This window comes from Homo sapiens, chromosome 13 (genome assembly GCF_000001405.40).
Source record: "Homo sapiens chromosome 13, GRCh38.p14 Primary Assembly".
NCBI classification, from domain to species: Eukaryota; Metazoa; Chordata; class Mammalia; order Primates; family Hominidae; genus Homo; species Homo sapiens.
The window spans coordinates 108305004-108326611 of NC_000013.11; the positions used below are offsets into that span (position 1 = coordinate 108305004).

General features: G+C 36.8%; 1 protein-coding gene across 2 annotated transcripts in view; it reads left to right on the forward strand.

Annotated features, from left to right (window-relative positions):
• The window catches only part of TNFSF13B (TNF superfamily member 13b), a 38856-nt gene extending 35375 nt beyond the window's left edge, over nucleotides 1–3481 (forward strand). The window contains exon 5 of one of the 2 annotated variants that reach the window (NM_001145645.2): nucleotides 1823–3481. In NM_001145645.2, coding sequence (NP_001139117.1) covers nucleotides 1823–1935 — 113 coding nt within the window. In that variant the 3' untranslated portion in view covers nucleotides 1936–3481. The remainder of the gene's footprint in view (nucleotides 1–1822) is intronic. The other variant, NM_006573.5, reaches the window with a different exon arrangement.

The following is a 21608-nucleotide window of genomic DNA, read 5'->3' on the forward strand; positions in this document are numbered from 1 at the left end:
CTCTTTAAAACGTTTTTCTAATCATCTGCTCCTCTAACACTTACTTGCTGTTAGAGGACTCTGCTAGATTTCTTAAGGTGTCTTACTTTTTAAGAATAATTCACCGGACTTTAAAAATATTTTTCATTACTAGTAGCTTACTGTTGTATATGAGTACCATCCTCTAGTAAGTTTCAGGTTTGCAATTTTAATCTGTTTTAGGGCAAATTTATTTAAAGCCATTTAAAACCACACATTAGAGTATATATAAGTACATAAAATGTTTCCATAGCAACCTGAAAAGATGTAAATGGCCAACTTAAGAAACCCAACATAATACCAAAGAACCACTTATATACCTAAAGCTGAATCTTATTATTTATTGTATTAATAAAATGTTTATTAGAAAAATTATACCTGATTGCTGTAATCTGGAAGAATTGAAGTAGCCGATAATTTAGTGTTAAAATGTTAAATGGACTCTATAGTTGTTCACACCCACCTAATCCTTAGAGTTAATATTACTTAATGCTTTGTGAGCTATGGTCTTTGTCAAAATGTTAGGTCATTTCCAATCTCTATGAAAATGACAAGTCTGTTCAACAAATAAATCTCAATCTTTTTATTCTTACTACTTAAGGTAGTCCTCAAAGGCTTTGTCAATTCTAGAAAGTGTACACATAACCTTTAATAAGTCCTGAAAAACTTTCTTTTGCTTGTATTCTGTCTTTGCCCATTACAAAAAAGCATACCCAGTGGGGATGGAAATTCTGTCATCCTTGATCACTACTGTGTGTTTGTCTAGAAGGGTGGCTGGTACATAGTAAATGTTCAATAAATAAACTCCCCCTGGCTGCTGCCTGAGCAAATTTGCATGCTTTGGGCTTTAGGTTAGAATAGACATGAACATACATGTGTTTATGTAGGTACATTTTCACTATGCTAATGAAACAATGAAACTATTCTAAAAATAGCCACAAGTATTGACAATTCAGATGACAGTTTTAATGTTTGTTAGTTTCTTTATTTCTTCTCTTCCCCCATTTCCTCCTCTTTCTTCTTCATATTTTTGTTTTGAAGTGGGGTAAATAATTACCTGATACATTGAGTGTAGTCCCTGAATGTATTTTGTATTACTAATTCACAGATGCATTTGTCCTTGTAAATTAGTTGCACACAGATTTATTAGTCATTTTTGAAGAGTTAATTACACTGTTGTTTTTGATTATAAAGACAAACATGGTCATCTAAGAAAACAAAATATAAGAGGTTGTGAAAAGTAATCCAGATAATGCTTAAATCCATAGTCGGGACTCTCAAGAAAAACTATATTAATGAATGTGGTATGTTAAGAAATGGTGTTTTCTTCAGTTTTTAATATTTATGCTTTTCATTTGTATGTTTAAAACTATAATTAGGAATATCTAGTATATATATGTGTGTGTAATTTTTCACATTTTTATTTAACATTATTATAAAAACTTTCCCTGTCAACAAAATTAAACAAAACTCATCACTAATAATTTAATATTCTATCAAGGGATGTTCCATGATTTACCTAATTGTTTAAAAAGTTATATATTGGGCTTCTTTTGGGGAAGTCCATTTTTTAATGAGTAGGTGATAAATGCATACATATCTGTTGTAACTCCTTTTGCTTATTTCTTCTAAATTTTTTTTTAGGCTAAGATAATTGCAATGGTTTAGAAGTCCGTTGGTGTATTTTGAAGTGTGAATGCCTATGTTAACATTTTTTTTTTACAGAACAAAATAGTTTTATTTAAGATTCTTTTCTTTTCTGTTGTATAACCACTTATAGTTCTTGTAAATCATTTTTTCCCAGGCATTGCAAAACTGGAAGAAGGAGATGAACTCCAACTTGCAATACCAAGAGAAAATGCACAAATATCACTGGATGGAGATGTCACATTTTTTGGTGCATTGAAACTGCTGTGACCTACTTACACCATGTCTGTAGCTATTTTCCTCCCTTTCTCTGTACCTCTAAGAAGAAAGAATCTAACTGAAAATACCAAAAAAAAAAAAAAAAAAAAAAAAAAAAAAAGTAGTTACCATTGCCTTTTCTGTGAGCTATTTGTTTTGGTTTGCTGAAACTAGTCCAAAACAGGAAATTTAACAGACAGCCACAGCCAAAGAGTGTCATGTGAATTACAAGAAATAGAGCCCATTTAGGGAAAGATAGAACTAGAAAGGCTTTTCATTATAATTCCATGTTGAACAATTGAGTCATAGCTTCTTATCTTGGAGGAAGGACACAATTCAAAGGGGCAGTAAGGATTTTGTAAAACGTGGCATCCATAATTTACTATGGAGCAAGTGCCCACATCTCTAGGACATTAAGACATTTATGAGAAATCTCAGGATTCATCTTCTGTTTTTATGTTAAATGCACTCCCTCCTTTTCAGTTAACATTATAAAAAGTAAAAAATGAAAATTTTAGAAATCTTGCATTAGACACATGAAAAAATAACTAAAAGTTTAAATTTAAATATGAAACAATTTTGCTGAAAATAGTATCCATATACTATTTAAGTCTTTTATGGTTATTTCAAGTATACAATTTCTATCTGTAATGTAATATATTACCCACACATTTTTTTCACAGGAGAGAGAGAATATCCTCATTTGTTTATGCTCATGTGTATTTTCTATAGTGAATTTCAGAAACTTTTAATATCAGGTAATTTCAATTTATGCCTATAAAGCATTGATTGAAAAATAACTAGAATTGTGCATATATAACACATAATCTCCAACAGAAGTTACTGAATACATTCATACTAATGTAATGTAATTTCCCTTTATTTCTTGCTCTTCTGTTTCAAACTGCTGCTATTGTAGTTTACATATCCCAACCTTTAAAAATATTCCTCTTATTAGCTTTATATTCACTTTATAGAAGTTGAGTTTTAATTAAAATTCTTGGCATCCTGAAGTATGTCACATAGCATGTGCTCCTTATAAATATGTTGATATCTCAGAAGACAGCATCCCGGTTTTCATTTTATAAAGTACCATACTTAAGAATGCTGTAATACTTATCTTTTATAACATGTTTCCTTCGCTTTGCTTGTCTTTTATGTCATCAGTTTTAACTGTTTACTTCATTTAACAGTTTACATCATTCAACAGTTTACTTCATTAAACAGTAGGTGGAAAAATAGATGCCAGTCTATGAAAATCTTCCCATCTATATCAAAATACTTTTCAAGGATATACTTTTCAAAACAAACGATTTAAATTTTATGTTTAAAATATAAACTTTAGATTTAAACTTTATTTAAATATCTGGTTCCTATGATTTTGACTTCAGTAAGTTCAAATAAAATATATTTTGCAATTCATTTTTACATTATAATTTAAAAAGAAGAAGCGATAAGTGGAGTCAGTTTCAATGCTAGGTGGGGTGGTTAATGATTTTTCTGGTGTTGCTGCTAATGTGGATTAACAAATAAAAACATTCATTGCCTTTTGCCTCATTGTCTGACTGAGTTTGTCTAGCAACACCCACCTTTTGAATTCTCGCTGTATAATTAAATGTTATTTTTAAAATCAGGTGAAACATGATAAATTAATTTGTGTTAGGATATGATAGTTTGGAAATGTGAGTATGTTCCATATCTGAAAAAGAATCTGTTCACATCTGTATCTGTCTAACTACCTAATTTTAAACTTTTTAGAACCGACATCAATTATGTTATTACCTTTAGAGTTGAATTTATCCAACAGTACAGTATATTTTGTGAGATTTTTAGTACAATATTAAGTATATATTATTGGTATAATATCAAGTATTTATATATTACTTATAATATTAAGTAGATGTATAACTGAGAAAAGCTAATAGCAGGCCAAGCATTCTTCTCCTAAGGAGCTGACTATGAGGTGGTGAAATTCCACCAGGACAAGCATCTTGTAGGGATCACGAAAGGCATCATTGAGGGCAATCTTGTTGGCAGCAACCTCATTACATCTTGGGCCCGACCCCCACTCTGCTGTAATTAGAAGGTTGTATTAGTCTGTTTTCACACTGCTGATAAAGGCTTACTCAAGATTGGGTAATTTATAGAGAAAAAAGGTTTAATGGACTCACAGATCCACATAGCTGGGGAGGCCTCATAATCACAGTAGAAGGCAAAAGGCACATCTTACATGGTGGCAGGCAAAGAGTGAATGAGAGCCAAGTGGAGGAGGAAACCCCTTATAAAACCATCAGATCTCATGAGACTTATCACTACCACAGGACAATATGGGGGAAACGGTCCCCATGATTCAATTATCTCCCACCAGGTCCCTCCCACAACACATGGGAATTATGGGAGCTACAATTCAAGATGGGATTTGGGTGGGGACACAGCCAAACCACATCAAAGGTGCAGTGGAGAATTCATAATCCTCACCATTTGAGGTTTGATGATGGTGATGAAGACAACAGGTGGGATTATAGATATAAGAGAAGGGAGGAAATTCTTTACCGTTGAGTTAATCACTTTACATGTTTTTAAAACTTTTTGACTTTTTGTTTTGAAGTAATTTCAGACTTTTAAAAATATGGGAAAGAAAAGTGTAATGAAACCCCTTATATTCTTCACTTATATTCCTAGTGTTAACATCTTACAGCACAAGGGTAAAAGTCAAGACACTAACATTAATACAGCAACTAATGCACAGACCCTTTGAAGACTGACCACATGCTAAGTTATAAAGCAAGATTCAGCACATTTTAAATAGTTGGCTTTATAACAATTACAGTTCCTCTACAGCATCATTAGTAAAAGAAATTGGTGATTAAAAAGTAAGGAAAATATGCACGTGGAAATTAAAGTGGAGAGAAATTACTTCTAAATAATTTATGGCTTAAACAGAAAGCATATGGAAATTAGAAAATGTTTACAACTAGATGACAAAATACTTCACAAGAAACCCTGGGGTGTAGGAAAATCAGTGCATACATAGAGTTTATAAACTTAAATGCTTATATTATATAAGAAAAATGACTGAAAGTTATGAACTAAGCACCAACAGCAAGAAAAAAACAAAAGCAAGACAAAACAAAAGCAAGGTAAAAACAAAATAAACAAAAAAACCTAAGCCAAAGGAATAGAAGAAAGCAATTAAGGATAAGAGCAGAAATTCAGAAACTGGAAAAGGCAGGTAATTAAAAAGGTCAATAAGACCAAAAAATTTATATAGAGGTAAATAAATATAAATATAGACATAAACAAACGTAATGATACTTTTATCATAAAAATAAAGTATTTTTATTTTATCATATTTAAACCTCAAAGTTTCTTGTGAAATATTTCATTATCAATATTTTCAAACAAAAATACAGCAAGCCAGCATAAACAATATTAGAATTGAATATGGGGAGAAAAGTATAGATGCCAAAGAGAAAAATGAAAAAAAAAACGTTTTGTCAAAAAACTTCAGCAAATTAGATGAGAGACAAATTCCTAGATAAATATAAATTGACAAAACTGATCAGTATAAAAGAGACAAAAATGAATCCGTTAGAGACGTTGAAGTAGTTTACAATTTACACATACAAAAATGGTCAGGCCAAGATGGGAAAATTTTCTCAAATATTCAAGGGGTAGACTACTTCTATATTATGTAAATTATTTTAGAGAACAAGAAAAAGAGAATACTCCCAAGTTCAACTTGTATTTTCCTCTATAATCTTGATACCAAAACATTCTGAAGGCAGAATTACAAGTAAAAATTACAAGCCAATCTTACTCATAAATATGTCTTAAAACATTAGCGAATTGAACTCAGCAGTGTATTTAAAAAGAGCATGCATAATAACCATGTTAGATTTGATCCATATGCGAAAATTTATATTAATAACAGATGTAAGTGATTATAACAAAATATTAAAGGAGAATATCATATGATCACCTCAGTAAATCCAAGAAAGAAAGAACAATTCAATATTTATCTATGGTAAACACTTTTAGCAAAGTGAGAATAAAGAAAACTTTAAAAATCTTGTGAACTTGGCAACCAGAACAAGATAATTATCCCTGGATTATTATTACCACTTCTATATTATACTGAAGGGTCTAGACATTTTAACATTTATTCAAATAATATTTATTGAATGTCTAATATTTACGAGGCAATATTCCTGGTAATTATTTAGTGGGAAGGGGGCAAAAAAAAAAAAAAAAAAAGCAGAACATATGGTTTGCTAGATGGTAACAAATACTATGGAGTCCAATCAAGTAGCAGACATAAGGCATTACTGGAAGAAGATGTGGTGCATACTTTAATAACAATCACGAATATTTATTAGGTATTTATATTGTGTGAGAGACTCTTCTAGGTGTTAATTTATTTCAATTTTCCAGCAACTCCAAAATATCAAGCCACTATTAATTTCCTTATTTCATAGATGAGAGTTATTTCATAAACTCAGTTTATTTCATAGACTTATTTCATAAACTCAGAGTCTACATAAATTGGCTGTTTGCTGTAAATGGCAAGGCAAGATGTGAACTCAGGTCCTTTATTTGTAAGTCCTTCAACCTCAGCACTATGTCATACAGCCTTCAGTCAGGGAAGGCCTCACTGAAGAAGGGCATGGAGAGGGTAATGTAAGTGATATGGTTTTGCTGTGTCCCCACCCAAATCTCATCTTGAATTCCCATGTGTTGTGGTAGATAATTGAATGAGAGACAATTGAATCATGGAGGTGGGTCTTTCCCATGCTGTTCTTGTGATAGTGAATTAGTCTCTCGAGACCTGATTATTTTAAAAAGAGGAGTTCCTCTGCACACACTCTCTCTCTCTTTGCCTGCTGCCATCCATGTAAGACGTAACTTGCTCCTCTTTGCCTTCTGCCATGATTGTGAGGCTTCCTCAGCCATGTGGAACTGTAAGTCTAATTAAAACCCTTTCTTTTGTAAATTGCCCAGTCTTGCGTATGTCTTTATCAGCAGCATGAAAACGGACTAATACAGTAAGATTTATGGGGAAGAGTATTTGAGAGAGAGGAAATGGAAAGCAAAATCCCTTCAGTGTGTTTGTGGAGCACAGTGGTCCCAGGATGCCTGGACAGCAGTGATCCATGGAGAAAGTAGAAGATGAAGCTAGAGAGTTAAGGAGGGGAGGGCACTGAGCCTGCAAGAACTTGCTGTGCATTGGGAGGGAATTGCTTTTAGTCTGAGTGAGAAAAGAAACCCTAGAAATTTCTGAGCAGAGAAGTGATGTGATCTGACTTACTTGTAAAAGAACCACTTTGGATTCTGTACTGTTTAGTCTACACGGGAGAATGGGTGAAAGCAGGAGACTAACAGGGGTCTGTAGCCATAATCCAGGCAAGGAATCATGGTAGCTTTGACTAGAGTGGCCGAATTGTGTGTTCTGTGTTGAATGAAATATTCAAGGATAATATCACATGATCACTTCAGCAGATCCAGGAGGCAAAAAGTACAATTTAATATTTACTTACGGTAAACACTTTCAACAAAGCGGGAATGAATAAAACTTTTTAAATCTAATAAAATTTGCAACCAGGAAAAGATAATTATCACTGGATGATTATTACCACTTCTACATTTTCCCCAAATATTTGCTCAAGTCCCAACTCCTGGTACCTGTAAAGGTGACCTTATTTGGAAATAAGGCCTTTGCAGATGTAGTTAAGATGTAACTTAAGTGAAGTCATACTGGAGTAGGGTGGGCCCCTAAATCTAATGTCTGTTGTTTTCATAACAGGAGGAGAAGAAACAGAGACATGCACACAGGGAGAAGGCCATGTGAGTATTAAGGCAGAGATGAGAGAGGTGCTTTTACCAGCCAAGAAACACCAAGGATTGCTGGCAACAACCAAATGCTAAAAGAGGCAAGGAAAGATTCTCACCTAGATCTTTCTGAGTAAGCAAAGACCTCCCGATACCTTGGCCTCAGACTTCTACCTTCCAGAACAGTGAGAAGTACTTGTTTTCAACCACCCAGTTTGTGACACTTTGTTATGGCAGGTCTAATAATCGAACACAGATGTTGACACTGAGAATATTGAAAAAGGTCATATTCTGTATATCTTTAAAAGTGTAACCCACAATATTTGTTTATTCTCTAAACATGGGAGCGGGAAGATAAAAAGAGAGGCATGAAGGATCACTCCCAAGTTTTAGCCAGAGCAACATGAATGATGATGAATATCCCCTAACAGGATGAGGAAGACTAGAAGAAGCAGCTTCAGAGTGGGCAGGAAGGGAGTTCAATTTTGAACATATTAAATTCTAGTTGAAAGGTGAACACCGAAACGGAGATGCTGTCTACGAAGTTAGGACTAGAAACCCTGTATGAGATCACCAGGGGTATAAGACCAAAGAGCAGAGAAGACAGTGAAAGAATGGATTCTGAATGTCAACATTCAGGAGTCCATGAGATGAGGAGGAACAAGCAAGGAAGACTAAAAAGAAATTACAATTAAGAGAGTAAAAACCAGGAGGCCTGAAGCCAAGTCAAAAGAAAAAATCATAAGGGAAGTTTCATTCAGCCTGTTAGTGCTGTTAAATTGCACGAAAGAGGGCGGGGAGGGCATGGTCAGGGAGCAGACTGCAATTGGCATGAGGCCAGGAAACACCCAGATGGGAAAGTGGCCTATATACAAATACTTGATTATATGATTTGGCTGTGTCCCCACCCAAATCTCATCCTGAACTGTAGTTCCCACAATCCTCATGTGTCCTGGGAAAGACTTGGTGGGAGATACTTGAATCATGGGGCTGGTTATCCTCATGCTGTTCTCGTGATAGTGAGTGAGTTCTCACGAGATCTGTTGGTTTTTAAAGGGGCTTCCCTCTTTTGCTTGGCACTTCTCCTTGCTGGTGCCATGTGAAGAAGGACGTATTTTCTTCCCCTTCCACCATGATTATAAGTTTCCTGAGGCCTTCTCAGCCATGCTGAATGCTGAATCCATTAAACCTCTTTCCTTTATAAATTACCCAGTCTCGGGTGCGTCTTTATTGGCAGCTTGAGAACAGACTAATACACTTGAGGATGAGGGTGCAACCTCATTAGAGACCTGCCTTACACTAGGGCCACAGAGATAAGTTGTGAGAGGTGGTCAGGTTCTGTATGCATTTTGAAGGTAAAAGAATCTATCTTCTAACATGAGGTGTGAGATTCACTCTCAAGTTTTTGGACTCATCAACTGAAAAGGCATTATTCACTGAGTTGGGGAAGGTAAGAATTGGAGAAGAAAAAAACATAGATTGTTCTAGCAGGTTTAATTTGGAGATGCCTGTTAGCCATCTGTTGGGCAAACAGTATTTGGCCATGGATACTGGGATTGTTTCTTTTTTCCTTTTACAATCAATACTCCTATACGCATTCTTGTACTTGTCTCCTCGTGTGAATATTTAATTCATTCCAGTTCTCATAACTCCTGGGAACATGGTAGAATGGCACAGCCTTGTCACTGAATGGGGCCATGTGACTATTTCTGACTAACCCGTTGTGAATTGAGCCCTATAGAATACTTCTTTCTCTCTGATCCATGATCAAAAAATTTCAAAACAGCGTATGTTGTTCCATCAGCCTAGATCCCTCAGAAACTATATTGAGCAGAGAACTCCCTCACCCGGCCACTTGCTCTGTGAGATTCATGATGGAAAGGCAATGTGAACAACAAATAAATTTCTATTGTCCAAAGTCACTGATATTATAGGCATGTTTGTTTCTGCAGTGTAATTGAGCCCATCTTGACTGATACTTTCCAGAATTAATTTTATCGTGCCATCTCATTCAACCTCCTACGACTCCCATAAAAAAAAACGCAGCCAGGGCATAGAGCCCATGTATTAATTTCCCCTTAGATAGCCCATTGCCATGCTCTTCTTTGACAACCTTGACATTATCTTCCATATCAGATACTGCTGATCTGAGCTTTGTTCTCAGTGCCCTTGGGCACTGTGTTCTCCTGGTCAGACTATACCCCTCCTCCTCAGGGACAGCTTTATCTGCCCATGCCCTGCTGCCTGAATGAACCAAATTACAGAGAAACTCATCCTGTCTTAGGTGTAATAATTCCCTGACTTCCACTGTAGCCACACACATACAAACAAAATGTACAATTAGAAAGGAATGTTTGAAGAAACAGCTGGCTTCTTGGCATGCCACCTGTGCCCAAGGACCCACACTCAGAAAGCCTCTGTGCTTACTTTAATGCTCCACTGTTGCCATCTTGGAAATCTTAATCATTTTTGAGCAAGGGTGCTGATATGGTTTGACTGTGTCCCCACCCAAATTTCATCTTGAAATGTAACTTCCACAATTCCCACATTTTGTGGGAGGAACCCAGGGGGAGGTGATTGAATTATGGTGGCAGGTCTCTCCTGGGCTGTTCTCCTGATAGTGAATGAATCTCATGAGATCTGGTGGTTTTAAAAAGGGAAGTTTCCCCGCATGAGCTCTATTCTCTTATCTGCCGCATGTGAGACATGCCTTTCACCTTCTGTCATGATTGTGAGGCCTCCCCAGCCATGCGGAACTGTGAGTGTATTAAACTTCTTTCTTTTGTAAATTGCCCAGTCTCGGGTATGTCTTCATCAGAAGTGTGAAAACAGACTAATACGGGCACCTACACTTTTATTTAGTGCTGGGCCCTGAAAATTAGGTAGCAGTTCTATTAGAAGATATTAGAGAGAAGGAGTAGAGGATAAGTTAAGAGCCTCATGTCTTGTGCCAAAAGTCTAGCATTCAAATCCTAATTTGCTTCCTAATTTTATAACATTAGTAACACTGAATTTGTGAAAAAAATGCACATGTAAAAACACTCAGAATAGTACCTTGCATATTATATGTGCTAAATACTTTTGCTTAAAAGATACACATGCCTATACCCACATACACAGACATAACAGGAGGAATTTGAATTTGAATTCAAAAGAAGGAAAGAGAAGTGTACTGTCTGGTTTCATTTTAGCAATGAAAACCAATGTGGAAGCTAAATTGGCCGGAAACTGAGGAATATCTGGTTTTGTTATCTTGTATTGTTGTTTTGTTTTAAGATATCTTGGGTAGACAGGGAAAAAAATGAGAGAGAGAGAGAGAGAAGGCAGAGCAGCACCCTGGAATTTAGAACACCGCTCTGCTCCATCCATCAGGTCATAGAATGACACCCAGCAGTGCGAATGAGAAACAAAACAGCTCTGACTATATCCCACCCCAGAGGCTACATATTTCCAAGATGTAGACAACTGGGGCAAAGACTTCAGCATGAGAGCAGAAGGCTGCCCTAAATTTAACCTTGCAGGAGTGAAAGGGAGCCAGGATTCAGGAATCGGGTGGCAGCAGCAAGAAAACAGAATAAAAGGGAGATGGATGAGGAAGAAAATGTGCAGGAGGAAGATCATTTCTGGGGCCTGGGCGTGACCATATGGGACCACCCTGGAGGTGTTAGCTGGGGACGAGTAGGGAAGACAGGGCTGTTTGGTCTTCACCCCTCAGGACACTCACACCCCCACCCCACAGCCTCCCTTTACAATGATAAGAAGCTGGTGAACCCTCACAGGGGTTTTTCCAAGGGAGGGAGTATATGGTGGAGGCTCCCGCTTGCCCATGGAACAGGAGACACTGTATGGAAAGCACCACATAAGGAAGGATGGTGTAGAGAGTTTGTGAGAATAAAAACACAGCCACGATTGTATTTGCATTTCAGATAAGACTATTGCATAATACATGGCAATCTGACTGTCTTGGAAATTAAGACAAATTGTTTTAATTTTTTCTCAAGCATAAGCCCCAGAATTGACAATGCTTCTAGATAAGAGTCCAAAAATCACAGCGAAAGTGAATAAGATGTTTCTAAAATAACAAACCGCCTAATGAGGAATCCCCTCTACCCCTCTGGAATGTCATCACCCAGTTTCAGAGTGGACATCGCCAGAGGTGACAACTTATCATTGTATTTAAAATCTGTGTCTCATGTACATAACTAAGATGTGGTTTGTACACTCAAAGCCCCATCTCACCACGTTCTAGGAAAGGAAAGCTAGTTCAAAGTAAGTTCCATTTAACCTACATTATCTGAGTGGATACAAGACAAAGAGGTAAGTTCCAACCACTCATGAGTTTGAGAGGCTGTAGTCATTTTCATTTATGACACTGACTAATTGGAATTGTAGTGATTGCTTGAGTGTTAACTCCAGGACGGTACTTGATAGCTCACCTCTGCAAAAGTGTGGTGAAAGGGACCCTACATTTCTCAAGATGAATTACACTTGGTGACTTTTCTGCAGGAAGAGGGGCCAACAAACACTGCTGATTACCTGCTCCATTGCCAACACATTCTATTTCAATAACCACAGTTGGTGCAGTGATAAACAAAAGAAGGCTCTTGCCTTCAAAAAGTTGCATCACGCATTTGTTAAGCCATGTTTGCAAGCCATCTTAGATAATCTCATGCCCATTACTAAATGCCTCAGCAAATGCCACCACTTGTGTTTCCAAAGTAGACTCTTCTTGTTATTTTTACAAATTAAAGAATTAGAAAAACAATGCAGGCATAAGGACTTTACATATGGATAGTTTATGGTAATTTTGTCCACATATTATAACTACAAATTAAGGCAATATGTAGTAAATAATTCTTTATAGATAGGCAGTAAATTTTAGTTTATAAGAAGACAATGAGCAGAGTGGTTTATTGATTACATCGATGGAAAAGAGGTTGCATGTTTGAGATCAGGGTCCCAGGCTTTCTGTTAAATAGTCTTTTTTAAAAAAAAATTATAAGTTTTCATCAAATCAGTGACAAATTCTGCAATATTTAAATAATTTAATGAATGGCAGAATAATCTATTTTTCAGAAGTTTTTTTTTTACATCAACTTTTAAACTATTTATGACACTTCTGTTGAATATATTGCAGATAATGGTTATCTGTTTTTTTCTTTCCAACTTTTAGGTTCAGTGGCTGCATATGCAGGTTTATTGCATGGGGAAATTTCATGTCGCACAGGTTTGGGGTATGGATTATTTCATCACCCAGGTAATGAGCATAGCACCCAATAGGTATTTTTTCAATCCTTACCCTCTTCCCTACATCCACGCTCAAGTAAGCCCTAATGTCTATTGTTCCCTTCTTTGTGTCCACGTGTACTCAATGTTTAGCTCCCACAAATAAGCGAGAACATGTAATATATAGTTTTTTGTTCTTGCATTAGTTTGCTTAGGATAATGGCCTCCAGCTTCATCTATGTTGCTGCAAAGGACATGATTTCATTTTTTATGGCTGTGTAGTATTCCATGGTGTGTATGTACCATATTTCCTTTTTTTTCTTTTCTTTTCTTATTTTTTTGTTGTTTTGAAATGGAGTCTCATACTGTTGCCAGGGCTGGAGTGCAGTGGCGCGATCTTGGCTCACTGCAACCTCTGCCTCCCGGGTTCAAGCAATTCTCCTGCCTCAGCCTATTGAGTAGGTGGGATTACAGGTACCCGCCACCATGCCCAGCTAATTTTTTCTATTTTTAGTAGAGATGGGGTTTCACCATGTTGGCCAGGCTGGTCTCAAGCTCCTGACCTCGTGATGCACCCGTCTCAGCCTCCCAGAGTGCTGGCATTACGTGCATGAGCCACCGTGCCTGGCCCCCATATTTTCTTTATTTAACCTACTGTGGATGGTCATCTAGGTTGATTTCATGTCTTTGCTATTGTGAATAGTGCTGTAATGAACATATGTATGCATGTGTCTTTATGGTAGAATGATTTATATTCCTTTGGGTGTATATCTAGTGATGGAATTGCTGGGTGGAATGGTAGTTCTGTGTTAAGTTCTTTGAGAAATCTCCAAACTGCTTTACACAGTAGCTGAATTAATTTACATTCTTACTAGCAGTGTATAAGCATCCCTTTTCTCCTCAATCTCACCAGCATCTATTGTTTTTTGACTTTTTAGTAATAGCCTTTCTGACTGGTATGAGATGGTATTGCAGCAGGACAAGCCTCAGACAAAACCCCTCAGACACCAAGTTAAAGAAGGAAGGGCTTTATTCAGCCGGGAACTTCGGCAAAACTCACGTCTCCAACAACTGAGCTCCCCGAGTGAGCAATTCCTGTCTCTTTTAAGGGCATCTGTTATTTCTTGACTTTTTAATGTTAGCCATTCTGACTGGTGTGAGATGGTATCCCATTGTCGATTTGATTTGTATTTCTTGATCAGTGATGTCCAACTTTTTTTCATATGCCTTTTGGCCGCATGTATGTCTTCTTTTGAGAAGTATCTATTTATGTTGCACTGTGGTTTGAAAGTGTGGCCGGTATGATTTGATTTTTTGTTTTTAATTTGTTGAGGATTGCTTTATGGTAGAGCATGAGGTCAATTTTAGAGTATGTGCCATGTGCAGATAAGAAGAATGTATATTCTGTTTTGTTTGGTGTAGTGCTCTGTAGATGTCTACTAGGACAATTTGCTCAAATGTTTAGATCCTGAATATTTTTATTAATTTTCTGCCTTGAACATCCACCTAATATTATCAGTGGGCTGTTGAAGTTTCCCACTATTATTGTGTGGTTATCTAAGTTTCTTCATAGGTCTCTATGAATTGTTTTGTGAATCTGGGTGCTCCAGTGTTGGATGCATACATACTTAGGATAGTTAAGTCTTCTTCTTGAATTGAACTCTTTATCATTATGTGATGCCCCTCTTTGTCCTTTCTGATAGTTGTTGGTTTGAAGCCTTTTTGGTTTGAAATAAGAATAGCAACCCCTGCTCTTTTTTGTTGTTGTTGTTTTCCATTTGGTTGATAGATCTTTCCCCAACCCATACTTTGAGCCTATGGGTGTCATTGCATGTGGAATGGGCATCTTGAAGACAGCATACAGTTAGGTCTTGCTTCTTTATCCAATTGCCACTCTGTGCCTTTTAAATGAGGTGTTTAGCATGTTTACATTCACAGTGAATATTGATGTGTGTGCATTTGATCCTGTCACTGTGTTGTCAGCTGGTTGGTATGTAGAATTGATTGTGTAGTTACTTTATAGTGTCGATGTACTTAAGTGTGTTTTTATGATGGCTCTGATCAGTCTTTATTTCCATGGTTAGCACTCCTGCAAGGACCACTTGTAAGGCAGGTCTGGTGGTAACGAATTCCCGTAGCATTTATTTATCTGAAAAGGTAAATAATCATTTAAGGTAGATGAATAGAAGACATGACCAATAGTAGAGAGTAGTATATAAAACCCTGATTAAAAAAAAATGATTTCAAAACCTAGAATCCAGCTTTTTTTTTTTCTAAGTAATTTTTAAAGGTAAATTTGACCTAAACTTGTATTAGTCCATTCTTGCATTGCTATGGAGAAATACATGAGGCCGGGCGCGGTGGCTCACGCCTGTAATCCCAGCACTTTGGGAGGCCAAGGTGGGTGGATCACGAGGTCAGGAGATGGAGACCATCTTGGCTAACACAGTGAAACCCCATCTCTACTAAAAATACAAAAACTTAGCTGGGCGTGGTGGCAGGGGCCTGTAGTCCCAGCTACTCAGGAGGCTGAGGCAGGAGAATGGTGTGAACCCGGAAAGCGGGGCTTGCAGTGAGCTGAGATTGCACCACTGCACGCCAGCCTGGGTGACAGAGCGAGACTCTGTCATTAAAAAAAAAAAAAGAAATACATGATACTGAGTAATTTGTAAAGAAAAGAGGTTTAATTGGCTCATGGTTCTGCAGGCTGTACAGGAAGCATGGTGGCGTCTGCTTCTGGGGGAGCCTCAGGGCACTTTTATTCAAAGCAGAAGGTAAATAAGGAGCAGGCATCTTCCATGGCAGAAGCAAGTGTTGGGAAGGGGCGGTGGTGCTACACACTTTTAAACAACCAGATCTCTTCTGAAAACTTACTATCATGAGCACAGCATCAAGGGGATGGTGCTGAAACATTTATGAGAAACATCTCCTGATCCAGTCACCTCCTACCATGCCCCACTTCCAATATTAGAGGTTCAAATTTGACACAAGATTTGGTGAGGACACAGATCCAAACCATATCAAGACTCTTACTTTTTCTGAAATAATATAGCAAGTAAATGTTTTGACTTTGAGCCTAAAGGTTATGCTCAACCTACTGTATTATGTTTCTCCGTCAATTTCTAGCACTGTATTATTAAGAAGGGAAAATGTTGTTCTCTTATGTTAGAAATAACATTTGAAACTGAAAATAAGACTTTCACTTTAGAATCAATTGATATATTGCATTCAGAATGGGTCACAAATGTGGAAGTGTTTTCAGACTCTGGGACGTGTCTATGAGATAATGACCTGACAGTGAAATTACAGAAACTGTTCAAATAATGAAATGTAAAGACTTAAAAATTTCTCTTCAAAAGGAAGGACATCCCCCTCTCAAATAAAGAATGCAAAAAAAGAGAAAAAAGAAGGAAGGGAATAGTTTCAATATTTAAAGAGCAGTAACATGAGAAGATGAAATTAGAATCAATTGATAGAATGTACCGATTTTAAGACTTTCTTGAGATACAATACACATGCTGTAAAATTTTCCTATTTTAAATGTAAAATTAAATGACTTTAATATGTTTACAAAGTTGTGCAAGAAGTTACAGAATTTAGTTAAAAATATTACGAACTTGATATTAGAATCCTGGGAAGAGAGGACTTAAAGGAATATGCAAAAGAAAGAAAGGAAGGGAGAAAGAGAGAAGGAGAGAGGGAGAGAGGGAGAAAGAAAGAAAAGAAAAGAAAAGTAGGTTGAGAAAAGTTTTGATGTGCTCTTTGAGAGAACATGTCAATTTTAATATCTTTTCAATCTTAGAATATATTTAGATTTACAAAAAGTTACAAAATTTTGCTGATAGTACCTATAATTCCTCACCCAGTTTCTCCTATTTTTAATACATTACTCACAAAATATTTGTCACAGCTAAGAAACAATGATACATTGTTATTAACTAAATGCCATACTCTATTTGGATTTTAATAGTCTTTCCACTTATGTTCTTTTTCTGGTCCTGAGTCTAGTCACCTGTACCTCATTGCATTAACAGACATGTCTCCTTAACATCCCCTGGTCTCTGACAGTTTCTAGTCTTTCCTTGTTTTTCATACCTTGACAGCCTTAAGGAGTATTGGGTGTTTTATAGAGTGACTCTCAGTTTGGGTTTATCTGATATTTTTCTTATGGTTAGAAGGCGGTTATATGTCTTTTGGAAAATAATATCTTACATATTTCATCAAGTCAGGGTACATGATCACCTGGCCAGATAGTATTTGCCAAATTCCCAAGAGATTACTTTGAAATTCAGATTTTTTTTTTTAGTCATGAAACTATTTAACTGTACATGCCACATTAATTTGGAAACAAACCCACAAAATATTCAGGTTAGACAATGTAGCCTATTCCTTCCTTTACAGTGATGTACATGTGTATCACCACTAGAGGGAAGCACTTGAACAACTAAAGTGTACAGTCTGGGTTATTCTTAAACGCAATTAAATTGATGATAGACAAACACCAAAATTTATAAAACCATGAACTGAAAGAATATTAAGAGACCAAACAGATACTTTAAGTGTTTCTTAAAACCATATGCCATGCCTAATGAAAGTTTACGACATGGCAGCTTCTACTTTTTCCTATTTGTTGGAACCCATGGTTCCAGTTCAGTTCCAAATCAGTTGTGTACCTGAGGACTTTGACACACTTACAATCTCCAGACCTTGGGGGCAAAGAGAAGGGATGATGGCAGATAGCAGCTGTAGAGAGGGAGGTTAGAGGGCAAGGTCTACCCTAAATTGGTTCAGTCTTTATAAGAATTTCTTTCCATTTTTGACTTTAAACAGCTCCTCCTCAAATTAGCCTGGATTTCCCAGGAAACGGTTACTGGGATTTTTCCTCCGTCTGACATAATTTTTTCTGGTTCTTCAATGTCTTGACTTCCTAATCCTTTTCTAGATTATGAACACTTTTTTATCTTCAGCCCAAAATATGCACATCCTTGACTGATGTACAATGAGATACACCTGCCCTTTAACTATTGTTTTTATTGATGTATCCTGACACCTACACATAGCACATACTTGTCTCCTTCTGTTTATGTTTTTAGGCTATTTATGTGTCAGTCACTGCTCTAACACAATTTCATCTATTATCTAATTTAATTTTTAAAAATTAATTTCTTAAAACTAGTCAACTTTAGTTTTTTAGAGAAGTTTGTGGTTTATAGAAAAATTGAGCAGAAAGCACAGGGTTTCCACATACTCCCTGTTTCCTAACCCCACCGTTTCCCCATTGATGAAATCTTGCATTAGTTTGGTACATTTGCTACAATTAATGAACATTTTTATGCTTATTGAAAAACGTTGATGTGTTAACTCAAGTCCATAGTTTGCATTAAGAATCACTTTGTGTTGTACAGTTCTGTGAGATTTGACAAGTGCATGAAGTTCTGCATCCACCATTACAGTAATACAGAATATTATCGCTGCCCTAGATAGCCCCTGAGCTCTACCTCATCATCCTCTCTCCTCGCATTCAAACCCATGGCAATCGTTGATATGTTACCACCTCCATCATTTTGCTTTTTTCAGGATGTCATACAGTCGCAATAATTGTATGTAGCCTTTTCAGATTGTCTTCTTTCACTTAGCAATCTTCACTTAATGTTCCTCCATGTCTTTTCATGGTTCGATATCTCATTTCTTTTTATTGCCAAGTAGTATTCCATTGTGTGCATAATCCACAATTTGTTTATCCATTCACCTGTTGAAGGACATCTTGGTTGCTTCTAATTTTCAGCAATTATGAATAAAGCTGCTGTAAAAGTAGGATTTTGTGTGGATGTAAGTTTTTGACTTATTTGGACAAATAACCTCATACTGTGTAGCACGACTGCTGGATCAGATGGCCAGACTACAGTTAGCTTTGCAAGAAACTGCCAACTTGCCTTCCAAAGTAGCTGTTATCATTTTGCATTCCCACAAGCAAGGAATGAGAGTTTCCATTGCTCCACATGTTCACCGGCCTTTAATATTGTTGTTTCAGATTTAAGACATTCTAACAGGTGAAGAGAAGTGTTTTATTGTTGTTTTAATTTGCAATTCTCTAGTGACATATGATGTTAGCATCTTTCATATGCTTTTCTGCCATCTGTATATCTTCTTTGGTGAGATACCAGTTTAGATCTTTTACCCACTTTTTCATTGAGTTGTTTTCTTAGTGTTAAGTTTTAAGAATTCTTTGTATATTTTGGAGGCAAGTTCTTTGTCAGATATGAGTTTTGCAGACTTTTTTCCTCATCCATGACTTTTTATTATTTAAATCTAATTTGATTTTTGTAACAACTCATGGGGCAGATGCTGTTATTAACTGTATTTTACAGATGAGGAAATAGTGCCATAGAGAAGTTATATATCTTGCCCAAGGTCTCAAAAACTAGTGTGAAGTGTATCTAGAATGCAGAGCCAGGCAATCTGAGTGCAGTTTGTTAAGCTTTCTGCTTCATCACCCTTGTCCTAAGCACTCATTACATTTGCATCACAGGCCGCTCATACTCAGCTGAGACCAGTTATGATCATGAGCCCCTGATATTGGTCTGTTTTTCATTTGTGTTACTCTGGACACTAATGCTTACTTAGAAATGCAAGAAAAAAGAAGAGCTATGGGCTAGCAATAGTAAATGTTTAAGAACAGATTTTAAATACTGTAAAATCAGATATAGCCTTTAAAATGTTTGATTGAGACCAACAGGAGGTGATTTTTTACTGTCAGTGACTAATGAGATGGTTTTTTAAAGAATCACATTTTAAAATCTGCTGTAACTTTCACATAGAAAAGAATTTTAGCCTTTTCTTTTGTGGAAGGGAAAATGAAACTTCAGGAGTGAGATCTAGTGTGCAACTATCCTCATTTTAATCACTTTGGCCTAGATATGTTCCACGGAAAGAGAAATAGTGTTCCGTAGTTTGCTTAATCAAAGGACACCCACAGAAGAAAAGGTGTATGGGTGACATCGTGGGTGCCTCACCAACGGAGCCAATCTTTCTCAAAATGTGCTGAGATCACCAACACCTTCTAATATCAAACTATCAAACTGAATGACTTCTTTCAGGCCTTCCCTAGCTTAAATTCGGAAACTTTTCATGATGTTCAGAATCTTCTTACTATTCTTAGGTATACATTAATTTCCAATGCATCTAAGTCTAATATAGTGATAACCATTTAACTATTGATCTGTCTGCCTCTCATCAACTCATCTTTCCATCTGTCCGCCCACCAATCCATCCATCTGTATGCCATCTGGAGCCTCCCTGCCTTTCAGAAATTGCGTACCTTTTCCGGAATCTAATTCCATGGTCCCTAACATCCCAGCGCTCTACCTCATCATGCTTCCTTTTGCTTCTATTTTTCCTTGTCGTAACACTCTTTCCTTCTCCTATTGTAGCCTGGATGCAGGGCTTAATCTCACTCATCAAGTTATATTTCAAATCCACCATTCTTAAGCATTTTGTGATTTCTTTCTTTTTTTTTTTTTGAAAATTCAGAGGATCATGAGGGTTCATGACATTCCCAGATGACAATCACCTCTACGGACTTGTGGCCCACATCTCCCTGGCTTCTTTCCTCACTTTACCTCTCTTCTTTTCCCATTGCCTCCATAGTCTCCAGGGTATCAAGGCAATCACTGGTCTTTTGCTTTGCAGGATATGCTTTTCACCGTATCCTGCCCTCTCTGAGTCTCACCAGCCAACATTTACTTACATTTTTTTTCCCACCAAAATATTTTTGTGTTTCTAGCAGTGGTTCTGGGAGGAAAATATTCATACTTACACACACACACACACACACACACACACACACACACACTCCAGTAAGCAAATATCATTGTTGACACTTTCATATCACCATGAATTTGATATATTAGACAGTTTATCACTTATGGCTACCCTATTTTGCCTTGAAGTGGCACATTTACATCCTGAGAGCTATTATTTCTCTTACAGGAAGAAAAACAGCAAATATGTAAATTGACATCTAAATAAGCTTTGCTTTCCTTAAATAGTTTCCTGGTCTTGCCCAGGAGTCTGTGCTGAAGCTCTGGGTGCAAAGCTCACTAAGTGGCCTTGGGCTGCTCTTCCCTTATTCTTTTCCCCCTGAGCTTTCTTATCCATAAATCTGAATGAAATTCCAATCTTTGTTCCTTACAGAACTGCATAGAGATCCAAAAACAATGTCTGCATAGTGTTTTAAAACTGTCAAATGCTAAGCAAACATAAATTCTTGTATTTGTTCTCAAAAATTAATTAAATAAATGAAATAATGATTATATAACATATTCAATGAAGAAAACATCTCCCAATTCTAAAAGTGCTTTTAAATTTCTCATTTTCACGTATTATACAATATGAAACACTTCTAGGCACTCAGAGATTGTGAATCGTTTTTGTTCTGCTGTGGCTGTGAGTTGTTTAAAACAGGAAGTAGTTTCCACATAGGGCTATAGCAAGGGGGTGGAGGGTGAGAAGCAAAGACTTATTTACCTAAGAAGACAAAGCAAGGACACTGCAGTGGCAGCCTCTGCGTGTCACCCTTTGGTGAGCCTCCTGACTGGATCTCGGCGGTGGGCCCTCACCACTCTGCCAAG